Source organism: Homo sapiens, chromosome 17 (genome assembly GCF_000001405.40).
Source record: "Homo sapiens chromosome 17, GRCh38.p14 Primary Assembly".
Lineage (NCBI taxonomy): Eukaryota > Metazoa > Chordata > Mammalia > Primates > Hominidae > Homo > Homo sapiens.
In genome coordinates, this window is record NC_000017.11 from 11,675,342 (window position 1) to 11,691,211 (window position 15,870).

At 40.9% G+C, this 15,870-nt stretch overlaps 1 protein-coding gene across 6 annotated transcripts in view; it reads left to right on the forward strand.

Moving 5' to 3' along the window:
* The window catches only part of DNAH9 (dynein axonemal heavy chain 9), a 371,279-nt gene that overhangs the window by 76,872 nt on the left and 278,537 nt on the right, over window positions 1–15,870 (forward strand). For all 6 annotated transcript variants that reach the window (XM_011523703.3, NM_001372.4, XM_017024292.3 and 3 more), the window contains 3 exons: window positions 4,416–4,638; window positions 5,382–5,548; window positions 14,225–15,095. In XM_011523703.3, the coding sequence (XP_011522005.1) occupies window positions 4,416–4,638; window positions 5,382–5,548; window positions 14,225–15,095 (1,261 nt within the window). The remainder of the gene's footprint in view (window positions 1–4,415; window positions 4,639–5,381; window positions 5,549–14,224; window positions 15,096–15,870) is intronic.

A 15,870-nucleotide genomic window follows, 5' to 3' on the forward strand; every position in this document is an offset into this window, starting at 1 on the left:
CTTTGGTGTTTGCAACGTACATGGTCATCATCTACTAATTTATGATAGTTTTATTTCTTCTTCCTTCTCGGTCTTTATGCTTTATATCTCTGTCTCTTATCTTACCACTCTGGCTAGGACTTCCAGTAGAATGTTGAATGAAAGTGGGGATAACATACGTCTTTGTCTTGTCTCTGATCTTAAAAGGAGTGCTTTTAACATTTCACTGCTGAGTATAATATTTGCTGTGAGTTTTCTGTGGATTTGCTTTATCTGATTTTAAAATTTCCCTTCTATTTCTAATTTGTTAGGAGTATTTAGCATAAATGGATGTAAAATTGTATCAAGTGTTTTATCTATGTCCATTAAGATAATTCTGGTTTTTCCCTCAAGATGTTAAAGTGGTGAACATATTATTTGGCTTCTAATGTTAAAACAACCTAGCATCTGAGATATGCCCAACAAAAAGTATTATCTTTTTCAATATACTCTCTGGCTTATTGTGTTTGCAAATATTTTGTTTAGCATTACTGCACCTGTTTGTGATTGAATTTGGCCTTCAATTTTCTTTTTTTTTTCCTGTCTGTATCTGGTTTTTGGTTTTGTAATTGTGCTAGCTTCATAGAACAAGAAGTAATTCTTCTTATTTTTTCTCCAGAAGAGTTGGTGTAATCTTGAAATTTTCTGATCTGTGAGAGTTTGATTTAAATTTCTTATTGAGCCATCTGGGATTGTGATTTTCTTTGTAAGAAGATTTTAGCCTATAATTTCTTTAATGATTATGAAGATATTGAAGTTTTCTATTCCTTCGTAAGTCACTTTTAGTAAGTCATATTTTCTAGGAATGTATCCATCTCATGTAAATCTTCAAATTATTATTATAAAATGGATAAGATCCTCTCAACTGTTTAATCTCTGCAAAGCCTATGGTGTCTCCCTCTTTTCATTTCTGTTCTTTTTTTTTTTTTTTTTTTTTTTTGAGACGGAGTTTCACTCTTGATGCCCAGGCCGCAGTGCAATGGCACGATCTCGGCTCACTGCAACCTCCACCTCCCGGGTTCAAGTGATTCTTCTGCCTCAGCCTCCCAAGTAGCTGGGATTACAGGCATGCACCACCATGCCTGGCTAATTTTGTATTTTTTAGTAGAGACAGGGTTTCTCCATGTTGGTCATGCTGGTCTCGAACTCCTGACCCCAGGTGATCCACCTGCCTTGGCCTCCCAAAGTGCTGGGATTACAGGCATGAGCCACTGCACCTGGCCTTCTATTCATTCTTATTTGTGCTTTCTGGTTTCCTTTCTTCTTGCCGGACACAAAAAAACTATCTAATAAACTCATTGATCTTATTTATTATGGTTTTATTTTTATTTCAATAATTTATTCTTTTATTATTTCCTTTACTACTTTGGATTTATTTTCTGTTCTTTGGCTAACGTTTGCTTGTTAATTTTGAGTCTTTTGTCTGTTTGCATGCTAACATTGAAAGTTATAAATTCTCTTCTAAATACAGTTTTACCTCCATCTTGCATTTTAGTATGTAATATTCTCATTACAATTTAGTTCTAAATACTTTTAATATTAATTATAATGGGTTTAGATTTTTTAATTTTTCAAATGTGAGACTTTTCTAGTTATAGTTTTTTATTAATTTCCAACTTAATTGTGCTGTGGTTTAGAAATGATATGTCTAATAACAAGCTTCTGAAATTTGTTAAAGTTTGCCTTATTCAATATAGTATATTCAGTTCTTATAAATTTCTGGGCATATTTGAAAATAATGTATATTCTGTAAGTACTGAGTAGAATGTTCTATGTATGCCTATTGTTCAAGTTTGTTAATTATTCTATTCAAATCTACTGTATCTTCACTGCCTTTTTTTAATCTACTTAATCTATCATCACTTACTAAGATAATTGTATTAAAAATCTTCCATTTTTAGTGGTATATTGTCAATTTCTCCTTGTAATTCTGTAAATTTTTGCTTCATATATTTTAAGGTTATGTTATAGGCATACAGATTTTGACTTTTTATATCTTCTTGGAACATTGAGCCTTTTAACCAAACATTAAACATCTTCTTTATCACTAGCAATATGTCTTGTACTAAAGTATGTTTTGTCTTCTATTAATGTAGCTAAAACAATTTTTCTTTGGTGACATTTGCTTAGTGCATCTCTTCTTATCCTTTGGCTTTCAACCTTGCTGTGCCCTTCCATTAGAAGACATTTTTATAATGAGCATAGAACTGATTTTTTAAATCCACTTTAGCAATATGTATTTTTTAACTGGAGGGTTTTGTTCATTAACATTGATCGTGGTACATTTTAATTTAAATCTACCATTTTATTATGTTCTTTTAGTTTGCTATTCTTTTTCTTTTTCATTGACTTCCTTTTTTGTCTGCTTTGGGGTATAATTTTTCATGTTTTCTTTTATTTTCCTTATTCCATTTTTTCCTCTGCTACTTTGAATGTCATGCCATGTAGCTCTGCTGTTCTAATGCTTACCACTGCTATTTTAATAAGCATCCTTAAAATAAGTAAATTTATTACTATTTTTAGTCTCTTCACAATGATTAAAAGACTTTAGAATAGTTTCATGTCTCCTGTTCATCCATCAAATTATATTCTATCATTCCTAGTAATTTAGATTGCTCTCTATTATTTATTTAAGCCCCAGGAACTATATATATATATCTATATATACACCAAATGTTTATTTATTATTTATTTATTTTATTTTTTTATTTTTTGAGATGCAGTCTCGCTCTGTCGCCCAGGCTGGAGTGCAGTGGCATGATCTCAACTCACTGCAACCTCTCTGCCTCCCGGATTCAAGTGATTCTTCTGCCTCAGCATCCCGAGTAGCTGGGACTACAGGCACAGGCCACCATGCCTGGCTAGTTTTTGTATTTTTAGTAGAGACAGGGTTTCATCATGTTGACCAGGCTGGTCTTGAACTCCTGACCTTGTGATCTATCCGCCTCGGCCTCCTATTTAGATTTACCAACATACTTACCATTATTGCTCTATAGTCCAGACATCTGACTGAGGTATATCCCATTAGAAGTTCCTTTAGTAAAGGTCTATTGATGAAGTGTTCTCATTCTTTCTTTGTCTGAAATGTATTCATTTTGCCCTTGTTCTTTAAAAATAGTTTTGTGGAGGGGAGAATTCAAGAATAACATAAATTCTCTTTGATTATTGAAAATATTATTCTACTGTGTCCTGGCTTCCATTTGTGTTGCCGAGTAGTCGGTTATCAGTCTAGTTTTGTTTTTGTTGTATGTGTGCTGTCGTTGTTTTAAGAAACTTGTCTTTGCTCTGAAGCTAATTTTAAGATTTTTTTTTTCTTTTGGTAATCTGTAGTTTCATAGTGAAGTGTTTATATGAGGGTTCCTTTATATTTATTCTGCTTGGGATTTGTTGGGCTTTCTTGATCTTACATTGCGTGTCTTTCAGCAATTCTAGAAAATGTTTAGCTAGACTCTTCTCAAATGTTGCTCTTGTTTGTTCTATTTCGTTCTTCTGGCACTTTTGTTATACTTATGTGTGATGTTTTCATTGTCTCCTGTCTTTTAATAACTTGCATATTTTTCCTTTTTTCTCTTTCTACCCTGCAGTTTAGAAACTGCTCCACGTATATCATACAGCAGTCTAATCCCTTTTCAGCTTTGTTGAAATTTAAATTATAATTATATTTTCCATTTTTAGATCTTCTACTCAGTTATTGTATAATTTTGCTTGCTTGTTTTTGTTCTTTGTTATTTTTCACATTTTAAGCCTTCTCTTTTATTGTTTTAAAATATGTTTATTAGAGTATAATCTTAAGACAGTTTTTGATTTGTCAACTTAAAAATGTTTGTTTCTTCCTGCCATATAGTAAAGTGATATAAAGGCCTACTGAAAATTATGAGCTTCTTTCTCCTGGAATTCTCCATCAACATATGATCATTTATGCATTGCCAGCAAACACCTCTTGGAAGCTTTTTCTATGCTTCTTTTCACAAAGCAATGCTATCGCAAGCCATAATTCTCATGTTATCCAGTTCATAAATTTTGCCACTTCTCTGAATCCAGCATTCAATACAAAGGTCTGCACCTATCACAGATTTTGAGTGCGCTCAGAGAACCTCTGAAATGACCTCCATTCTTGATTCTATCCAAATCACACATTACATTTAGATGTCGTGTCTCCTCCTGAGTCTCCTTCATCACAAGATAGGCCTCAGTCTTTGCCATTCGTAACCTTAACACCTTGTGCAAGAGGCCATATTCTTAACATCAGAGCATAGTCTATGCAGAGTGCTTAGTCAAGTGTTGGGCATGTGGTAGGATTTTCATAATGATAGATATTTTTGTTGGGGAAATCAATACATCTGCCTTTCGAGAAGTAGAACGAGAATGGTTCCTCATGTTCTGTTTGTGTTGATTAGCTTGGCCAACCTGGATGCGTTTATAAAGAAGAGTGAGAGCGGCTTACTCAAGAAAGTTGAAAAAGGAGATTTCCAAGGCTTGGTTGAGATCATGGGACACCTTATGGCTGTTAAAGAACGGCAGAGTAACACTGATGAGATGTTTGAGCCCTTAAAGCAGACTATTGAATTGCTGAAGACCTATGAACAAGAATTGCCAGAAACAGTGTTTAAGCAGCTGGAGGTCAGTGCATTTATGTCTTCCTTATAAAAGAAATAGAGGAAACATTTTAGGATTTCAGAATGGGGTAAAGTGGGGTACAGCAAATGAAAAACAGGGCTTGGAGCTGCAAGATCCGTGTTTTGGAACTATAATGTGTAGCGTATTTGTAACATCTAGCAAATTCTGGAAACTCAGTACATATGGGAGAAGGCAATGCTGGAGATAGATGGGAGAATTAAGATGGATAATTTTTCTCCATAGAAATGAACCAATGTTTTGGTTGAGAAAAAAAAAAAGCAGATCTGAAATATGTTAAGATGGTCCAAGAGGTAATGTGGGACATAAAAGAAAATAACCAAGCAACCCTGAAGAATATAGAAAAGGGAAGGGGTTAATGTAGCTTCAGTAGAAATATGGTAGAAGCAATAGAAACCGAAGATTGTAGAAACATCTTCCTTTAAGAAAAATCTAAAAGTCTCTTTAGCATTCCAAGTTTTCACAAATTTAGAGGGCTTAGAGGACCAGAGGTTGAGAGCAAGAAGGTTAGTGTAGAGTGAGTGGTAGGTAATAGTTGAGAGCAGCTGCGGAAGGAAGTCGAGGAAGAGTGGGTGGAGGGCAGATTGTAGGGAATGGGAAGATGACACCACCACACCATTGTACCATCTTGTAGCACAGATGGAAGCATCTGGGCTCTGTCCAGCTCAGGACTATGGGAGAGGAAAGAGCACCTTGGGAATCTGACCACACTGAGGTTTCCTTTGCAGGAGCTGCCTGAGAAATGGAACAACATAAAAAAGGTGGCCATTACTGTGAAGCAGCAGGTGGCCCCACTGCAGGCAAATGAAGTGACACTCCTCCGCCAGAGGTGCACAGCCTTCGATGCAGAACAGCAGCAATTCTGGGAGCAATTCCACAAAGAAGCCCCGTTCAGGTATGGGCCGAACACTGCTGCCTCTCTTTCTGTGAACACTGCAGTCTTTGAGTCATGGATAATCTTTTTGTGGGGCGTGTGTATTCTTCCAGCAGCTGCAGACCAGTTAATAATCTTCCTTCCCATTTAGGACCTTTGGTTGAAACGTGGTGCTAATGTGGACTGAATCCTATCATGACCTGTATGAAAAGGCCAAGGATTGTACAAACATCTTGCCTTAAAAAGATGCATATATATCTAGAAGCATCTTTGTGCCTCCAAGTTTATAAAGGGATGATAGGTGGTATAATTACTAGGATTTTACTAAACCTTTAGCATTCTAAGTTCTCACAGACTGTTCTTTTGGTTTTAAAAAGTGGCTGATTGAATTTTTAAAATTTTACAGAGCATTTCATTTTGGCAGCATAAAGGAAGGATTTAGGTGAAGGTTTTCTTCAGGGGGTTTCTCTCTGCTTGGTTCCAACACCTCCCTGCTTGTTATGACAGGTCTTTACATAAACAAAGCAACTCTAGGATCAGCAACACCATTCATCCATGCCCACGCTGCACATACTTGGGCTCCTTTCTCAGGGATTTCCTCCCGTGGTGAAGCGGTCTGCTTCTGGTCCACTGCTCAGCATCAACGGCTCCAACCAGGAGGCCAAGCTGGAGCTCAATGGTCCTACATCTGCTGATGTGCCAGCTAGATTGGGTGCCCTTTGCCCTAACGCTCCAGCTCTGTGATTTGTTTCCTGTTTCCTTGAGCTTCCTTTCTTGCTGGGTCTCCTCTATATTGTTGGGTAGACAGACTTCAAAATCTCCAAACTGGAAAATTCTCGATGCTTACAGTGAGGAATGTTTTTATTTTCAAAGGTTATTTGCCCACAGAAATATTAAAGCAACAAACCAAACAAAAAAAAATACAACTTCACTGGAACGAAGTTCAATAAAAATTAAGTGCACAGATGCTAGATTCAGGTGGCCTGGGGTCTAATTTCAGGTCTTCTACTTACTTCTTATGTTATGACAAAGTTACTTAATACCTTTGTGCTCCAGATTCCTCATCTATAAAATGTAGATGATAGTAGTGTCCACCACATATAGTTGTGGGTTGAATTAAAGAGATCATTCTTGAAAGTGTGTAGCACTGTGTCTGGTACTATGGTGAAAAACTGTACTGGTTTGTCCAGGATCGTTCTGGTTGTTGTCTGGGAGTTTTAAAATCTCTCCAGGTGATTCTAAATGTGCAGCCCAAATGGCAGCACATTGCTTTAGAGTCATAGGTTTTATATATTTATATCTTATGTCTGTTTTACACACTTGTCCTTCCCTGTCTCTTAACATACTCATCTTACTCTCTGTAACTCCAAGCATAATGCTTGGGAGATAGCAGCATTTTCGAGGTAGCGTCTTGCTCTGTCACCCAGGCTGGAGTGCAGCATCATAATCATAGCCTACTGCACCCTTGAACTCCTTGGGTTCAAGCAATCCTCTCACCTCAGCCTCCTGAGTAGCTGGGACTACAAGCATGCTCATGTCTTAGGAAGCACCTGTGTTCTGGGCAAACTGGATGGTTGCTCACTCAGCCTGGCATACCTATTTTTATCATTCATTCTTCAAACATTTATTAAGCAGCTGCTATCTCCCAAGCATTATACTTGGGGTAACAGAGAATAAGATGAGTAGGTTAAGAGGCGGGGAAGGACAAGTGTGTAAAACAGACATAAGATATAAATATATAAAACATATGACTCTAAAGCAATGTGCTGCCAGTTGGGCTGCACATTTAGAATCACCTGGAGAGATTTTAAAACTCCCAATATGCCCAGTGTGTCCTATATACTAATGAAGTTAGACTTTCTGGAGGCGAGACCTGTGAATCAGTATTTTGTAAGCTCCAGGAATTCCAATGTGCAGCCAAGTTTGGAAACCACCACCCTAAAGGGAAGTAATTGGTTTCCTTTCAAGCAATCATGAGGAGGAATGTAACTCCTAAGTCTGTATCCCTTTAGAATAATTGCCTTAGGAGCCACGCCCTTGTTCCAAAGAATCATCTGTTGCTCAAAACCCTTGTAGACTCCTTTGGGGACTATCTTTCAGAGTCTGAGGCTTATTCTTCTGACTCTTTTTTGGGCATGCAATTGAATTTTTGAAATTGAACACCAATTCAGAGCCAAAACTGCTGAAGGAGGTAAGTTCTCCAGCTAGGTAATACTACTTAGTGTTAACAACAACCACTCCAAAGGCAACAGCCATAAAAATAAAGACACTAATATTTTTGCACCAACAGTCTCTCTCTTTTTGTTTTGTTTTGTTTTGTTTTGAGACAGAGTCTAACTCTGTCACCCAGCCTGGAGTGCAATGGCACGATCTCGGCTCACTGCAACCTCCGCCTCCTGGATTCAAGTGATTTTCCTTCCTCAGCCTCCTGAGTAGCTGGGGTTACAGGTGCCCACCACCATGCCTGGCTAATTTTTGTATTTTTAGTAGAGGCAGGGTTTCACCATGTTGGTCAGACTGGTCCCGAACTCCTGACCTCGTGATCCTCCCACCTTGGCCTCCCAAAGTGCTGGGATTACAGGCATGAACCACCACGCCCGGCCCAACAGTCTCTTAAGATAATTTCAAAAAAGAAAAAAATTCAAAGATGTTGGGGAAAATATCCTCCCAAAGAGACTTCTAAGACTGCTTGAAAGGGAAACAACATTGGTGTGCTTTTGTGTCTGTTCGAAATTCGGTATTCCTCCTTCATGGGTATATTTTGTGTATTGATCAACTCCTGTTTGTTTTTTCATTTTATTTTTATTTGATAGTTGTGTTCGTTTTTCTTTCTTTGCACTTGTATCTGCTGGCTGTGAGGATACTGCTACTCTTAGCTGGGTGTTCCAAATTCACATCTGCTAATTTGACATGCAGATGAATCCCTGGAAGAGGATGCTTTGAAAAGAACTGCTGGGAAACCAAACATTTCTGCAATTTTGGTGTATTTCTCTTCTTGTCAAGAAAAACATCAGAGCTAAAATGGAATTGTAGATTTATCACTAAAGCGAATCTTAGTGGATGTCAACTTATGTGTTTTGTTTTCTTTCTTAGTTTGGTGTGTGTGAGTGTTCAAAATTTGTAGGTATTATGTGTGGCATGTGAGTTTAAATCTGGTTTCTCCACTGTTAAGTTATTTATGAATTTCTAAGTTGCAGGCCCTGGTATATTTTTCTGTGAATTCAAGTTTGAGTTTAATTCTGGTTTCTTCACTTTTAGATCATTTATAAATTTCTAAAGTGCAGACCCTGGTACATTTCTCTGTGGATGCAAGTTTCTGCTCCTGATTAGGTTACACAGATTAAGCTCAGTTTTGAATGTTCTCGTGTTTGAGGAGAGAAAAAAAACCTGAGTGTCTTATTAAGCCCTTGCAGTCTGACAGGTGCTGTGTGAAGTCAGGTTGCATAGGTTGAGGTTCTTCATGTCCAAGTCAAATTTCAGCTCCTCCTTTAGTTCTTAACTCTAAATTATAACACCATATTTCGGTGAGAGCCGAGCTCTCACCACAGTAATTGGCTAAATCATCTTACTCAGATTCAAGGGCTTTGTGCAACTCTTAAAGCTGGTGACCAGTTCTCCCTCTTGAATGAAAGGAATGCCCCCATGCTCTAGTGGTGTTTCACTGTTTGGTCTTCCTGACCTTGAGCACAGTCCTCTTGACCTTAAGAAACGTCACCATGACATATAGTCTTCTTGCCCACACCAAGACCAAGGTAATCGAGGGATTACTGAGCCAAAATAATCTACCTCTGTGAGCTCCAGCTCAATGAAGACCATTCGTGTTTTCAGCAGGCGACCAGATTCTATGAATGGCTGGGAGGGCTTTCTTGAAGATATCTTCCATGGGGTGCTGTCCTACATGACAACTAGAGAAAACAGCTTTCCAAATAGCCCAAGGCAGCAGTCATGAGGAAAGAAGGGCTTTTGACCTTCTTGCACAGTGTCTGCTGTCTCTTCCATAACTGCAGAAAAGGGCAATATTTGTCATTAAACCTCCCAGAGACATATCGGTTTCCTAAGATATGTCATTCATTCAGCTTGATCCTGTTCTTCCAGTTAACCTGACTCATTCACAGGATTTAGGCTTTCATGGAGTAGATGAGGTTATGGTCTCAGCAGTGGAGCCAGCAAAAAAGGATGTAGCTGTTAGGATTTTGAGATAATACACCTTTCCTGACCTCAAGGACTTATAGCCTCAGGGACAATTTCAAAAATGAGCAATAAGGCATGCACATTGGGCACCAGCTTTAACCCCGCCCAGGGAGGCAGTTCACACCTCCCCTAGAACATGGTGCTTATCATGGTGAGCCAGAGCCAGTGGCAAGTAAGAGCTGTTTCAGGGGGAAAAAAAACAGTTACAAAATGAGGATATTCTGGGCAAAGGAAATAGCACATACGAAGATGCAGAAGGATGAAAATGTAAGAAACAGCTGGAAAACTGCATGTGTGTATGGCTGGGATGCAGGAAGCAGGAGAGGAGAATGGAGGGGGCCATGTTTTGACCATAATCTCAGCCACTGAGGAGTCTAAGTATGACAAAAACATAATGTAAAGACCACCTTCTCATGGCTGCAGAGAACAGAATGGGGCAAGGTAGGCTCAAAACCAGGTGCTCAATGGGAGAGTGGTTCCAACAGCCCAGATGAGAAGTGGTGAGGCCTGATCAGAAGCAGTGGCAGAGATGAGGGAGAGGGGAAAATAGATTACAGAGAGATTTAGGAGAATATCTGCAGGATTGATTGAATGTGGGAGATGGAGGAGAAGGAGAGTGTAAGGGGATTTTTCATCTTCTAGCTTGGACAAGTGGTCGGAAGAGCTTTTATCCCACTGTTCACTGAGGCGGGCACAGAATTGGAAGGACTGCGCCTCACAAAGTCAGGGTTGGATACATTAATTTTTTTTTTTTTTTTTTTTTGAGACGGAGTCTCGCTCTGTCACCCAGGCTGGAGTGCAGTGACAGGATCTCAGCTCACTGCAATCTCCGTCTCCCGGGTTCAAGTGATTCTCCTGCTTCAGCCTCCCGAGTAGCTGGGACTATAGGTGCATGCCACCATGCCTGGCTAATTTTTTGTATTTTTAGTAGAGACAGGGTTTCACCTTGTTAGCCAGGATGGTCTCGATTTCCTGACCTCATGATCCACCCGCCTCGGCCTCCAAAAGTGCTGGGATTACAGGCATGAGACACGTTGAGTTTTATGCTACCTGGTGGGTATCAAGGACAGGTATGACACCGTTCATGGTATACACAGATACAGACGGTACTGAGATTCCCATTTACCAACAGGCAATTTCCCAGGAATCAATTTAGCTCACTTATTCCTCTCTCTCTAGGCTCACATCTGGGTCAGGCCTGAATCAGTCATTTTTCCACGATCAAATGCATGAGCGCCGTATTTTCATTTCTTTTAATTATAGTTTTATTCATCCAAGCTTTCCAGGCATTTCTCTTTTAGAGTAAAATACATTTTGCCTTATTATTTCAACTTCAAAGACTCAACCCACCCTTTTCCCTCCTATTGCTTTCTTGTTCTTATACTGTATCATTTCCCCAGAGTTTAGAGGATGGCTTCCAGCTTTTTAGGCACGTGGACGAGGTCTATGAATATCCTGACAATTTGCTGTAAAGGTTTGAAATCATAAGAAGGCTACACATCTATGGGTTCCCTTCACAACTTAGGCCAAGTTGGTTTTTATGTGTGCTTAGCTACAGAAAATGATCACCCACAAATCTAAACTATAAACAAAAATTATGCCGCAGGGTGGATGAAGTTTGGAATAAGTTTGATAAACATTCACCTCTTATAAATACTTGAGGAACCAACATCGATTTAAGAATGCTTATGGGTGCCAAAGGAAGAATGGTTAGCAAGATAATTTCTAATCTTCCATGTGCACCCCAAATAGCTCCTATCTTACCTAAAAAGTTATTCCTAAATGGTGTTCCACTAACAAATTAAACAGCATGTGGGCTTTTAGAATTTGCTTGAATTTTAACTAACATCAAGAGGTTCAGTTCACATTCTAAGTTCACTCTAGTCAAGATAAAAAGTGGAACCTACACACACCAACGATTAGTCTTTGGAAATGAAGAATAAACACAAGAACTCCTCACCCTTGGTGATCTTTTTTGCTGGGCCCCTTGCCATGAGCACCTTCCATTTCTTTCCTCCTAGTTCTTTCTTCCTCATAAGGGAGAAAGCTCCTCTCTCTATATATATGTAGAGAGACAGGGCCCTTTTCAACTCTGAGCACTCTGACCTTCTGTTCTGAAATATGTGGGAGCTAAATAATAGAGAAGGCATGCAAATGATAGTCCCATTCTCTTAAGATGTAAATCTACAACCATAGCACCTGAGCCAAAAACAATTTAGATTGAACAAGCAGGATTCAAACATAACGAGCGTCGAAGTTAATCTGACACTAATTTAATAGTATGCATAACTGTTATTCTGTTGCATGGCAATTAGGCTTAAGTGGTAAGCATTCGGGTAAATGACTTCAATTAGGATTACTTTCCATCTGTCAAGTCAAATATTTCTAAAGTCAACAGAGAAAGGGCAGTTGAAAAACAAGAGTTTGTATGTCATTTTCTTCCTTTTTCACTCCTTTTGTATTCTACCTACCAACACGCAAACACATGCATGTACACACAGAAACACACACACACTGTTGATGGGAGGAAACGGCCGATTCTCTAGTTAGTCATTTCCTCACAACCTTCCCTTTGATGGTGAACCCCATGATGACGTGTTTTGATTTTAGCAAAACATACCATTCTCCCTTAAGCTGTGGTGTGTCTAGTATGTAGCCCTCCAAGCACACAGAAGCAAGAAAACCTGAGCTTGAGGATGAGAGTGAGTATAATAAAGTGGGGTTGGAGGAGAAAATGAGAGGGTCCTTGAACACTAGGGCTATGAGTGCCCTTGACCATAAAAAAGCCATCTGCAGCCGAGCGGGATGGCTCATGCCTATGGTCCCAGCACTTTGGGAGGCTGAGGCAGGTGGATCATGAGGTCAGGAGATGGAGACCATCCTGGCCAACATAGTGAAACCCTGTATCTACTAAAATACAAAAAATTAGCCAGTCTTGGTGGTGTGTGCCTGTAGTCCTAGCTACTCAGGAGGCTGAGGCAGGGGAATCACTTGAACCCGGGAGGCGGAGATTGCAGTAAGCCAAAAAAAAAAAAAAAAAAGAAAAAGCCATCTGCCTACATGGGTTCCTTTGCATGTAGGGTCTTATGTTGGGGAAAACACTATGCAGGAACGCATGCTTTGCTGTATGGCAGCCTAAAGTCTGTCCAGACTTACGAGGATTAGAAGCAGTTTCAGGTGCTTGCATGCCATAAACACTGGAGAGAAGAGGATGAGGAAATGTGAACTAAAAAGCTAGAAATGGTGCTCATAGGTGTCGAGTGCAAGCCCAGAGACTGCCCCAGGATGCAGAAGGGAGTGGCCCAGGGAAGGGCAAAGGCAGAACTGGAAGATCAGGGACAGCTTGGAGAGGAACTCATGAAGATGAGGAGCCAGATTCAAGGCACACAGTGAAGGAAAGTGACCACGATTATCTATCAAGGGCTTTGCAGCCAGTCTTCATGGCCACTCACAGTGGTTCACCAGCATGAAGTGCTGTTGCCTGAAGCTGATGCAGGCACCAGTGTGAGCTTCACCATGAATGATGACACCATCCTGGCAAATGGAAATCACCTGTGGAGTGCATCTGGGTCCCGCCCCCAGTGGTTCTGATTTAGTTGGTCTATAGAGCAGTCTGGGCATGGGGATCTTACAAAGCTTTCAGAAGATCATGACATGCAGCCCAGGCTGATAGCCACTGCCCCAGAGTGATCAATGGAGGGAGGGTCAAGGTTGGGCTCCTGAGTCCCAGCTCTCCCACTTAAAGATCACCTACCAAGCCAGGCTTGGTGGCTTGTGCCTGTAATCCCAGCACTTTTGGAGGCCAAGGCGGGTGGATCACGAGGTCAGGAGTTCAAGACCAGCCTGGCCGACATGGTGAAACCCCGTCTCTACTAAAAACACAAAAATTAGCCAGGCATGGTGGCAGGTGTCTGTATTCCCAGCTACTTGGGAGGCTGAGGCAGAGAATTGCTTGAACCCGGGAGGCAGAGTTTGCAGTGAGCCGAGATCACGCCACTGCACTCCAGCCTGGGCAACAGAGCGAGACTCTGTCTCAAAAAAAAAATAAAAATAAAAAATAAATTTAAGAAATCACCTATCACTAGGTTCCTGGCAAGGCCCTTGGCTTTCCGGCTTCTGCTGTAATATGACAGTGCTCTTTTGTGTCAAATGGTCTTCAGAACCAACAGCTAGATGAAGGGCAGAGTCTAAAGGGGCTTGGATAAGGGGGTATTCCCTTCTAGACCTGAGTGGAGAACATCCAAGCATAATGTTCTTGAATTGCCCTTCTTCCAATGCCCACTCCACCCCAGTCTGTCCTGAGTGTGTTTTTTTTTTTTTCCCAAAAGAAAATCCTGGGAAGAAAAGACATTATTTGCTTTCGTGAAAAGAATGTTTTTGGTGAAAGCCACTGCTCTTTCCTAAAACACCAAGCATTTAAATATTTCAGCTGGTTGCTACCTTAGAGATGCTAGGAGATGGGCCCCTGCGTGCCATACTTACAAAGGAACACACTGTGTTTTGTAGGTTTGATAGCATCCACCCTCATCAAATGCTGGATGCCAGGCACATCGAGATCCAGCAGATGGAATCCACTATGGCCTCCATTTCTGAGTCTGCCAGCTTATTTGAAGTCAATGTCCCTGACTATAAGCAGCTGAGGCAGTGCAGGAAGGAGGTCTGCCAGCTGAAGGAGCTCTGGGACACCATTGGAATGGTGACCTCCAGCATCCATGCCTGGGAGACCACACCCTGGAGGAATATCAACGTGGAAGCCATGGAGTTGGAGTGCAAACAGTTTGCCCGGCATATCCGAAACCTGGACAAGGAGGTCAGGGCCTGGGATGCATTCACAGGCCTGGAAAGCACTGTGTGGAACACGCTGAGCTCCCTGAGGGCAGTAGCTGAGCTGCAGAATCCAGCCATCCGGGAGCGGCACTGGAGGCAGCTGATGCAGGCCACCGGTGTGAGCTTCACTATGGACCAGGACACCACCCTAGCGCACCTGCTGCAGCTCCAGCTGCACCACTATGAGGATGAGGTCCGGGGCATTGTGGACAAAGCTGCAAAAGAGATGGGTATGGAGAAAACCTTAAAGGAGCTGCAGACTACCTGGGCTGGCATGGAATTCCAGTATGAGCCCCACCCACGGACCAATGTCCCCCTCCTGTGCTCTGATGAGGACCTCATAGAGGTTCTGGAGGATAATCAAGTTCAACTTCAGAACCTGGTGATGTCCAAGTATGTTGCTTTCTTCTTGGAGGAGGTGTCGGGCTGGCAGAAGAAGCTGTCCACAGTGGACGCTGTCATCTCTATCTGGTTTGAAGTGCAGCGAACATGGACTCACCTGGAAAGCATATTCACTGGATCTGAAGATATTCGGGCACAGCTACCCCAGGTACCTGCTAAGGAAATCTAGAATCTCTCTATTCTCTGATCCAGGGTGAAGGGAAGGTCACCCAGTTCCTGCATTGTCTAGGCTCTTTCCTTTTCTGCCTCCTTGCTTTGACTTTACTTAAAGGCACTTCCCACAGATGCTCACCTTACCTGCCACCAAAAGTTAGGCAGAGGAAAAGAGGGACAGTGAAATGCACACCAATCAGTTTGTCCTTCAATGGGTAGGAAAAAGAAAGGAAAACCTCATTCAGAAAAAAAAAAATGTATATATAAGAAAGATTAAAAAAAAATACTGGCTACTGCAGTTTGGAATGAGGTCCTCACAGGTTGCTTCTTGGATCGTTAAAATTCAAGTGTCCACTGAAAGCGAGTCTCGTTTCCAGGCAAATTCAAGTTCCTTCTCAGCAGCATGCCATTCTATAAACCGCTGACCTGTGCCAGCGCTCCAACTACCAGCTGTCAGCTAAACACCAAACAATGGATTCCCCTAAAATATGTGTTCTTCTCATTATTACCTTCCCTGTGTTTGATTGCCCCTTCTAATTAGTTCTAATTAATGTGCCATTAACTTACCCCTCTCTCAGTGGACTCTGATTCATTTTTAAATTTTTTCTTTAGGCTTCCTCTATATTCTTTCAGTACAGCAAGTTCTTTGCTTACAAATTAGCTTGATTCCAAAATGTCACGGGCTGTCCAGGCTTTGGTTAGAAATTAAAGCACGTTCTGCCCAAACATAGTTTTCCTGCTAATCCCAAAAAGCATATTTAGTGTAATAC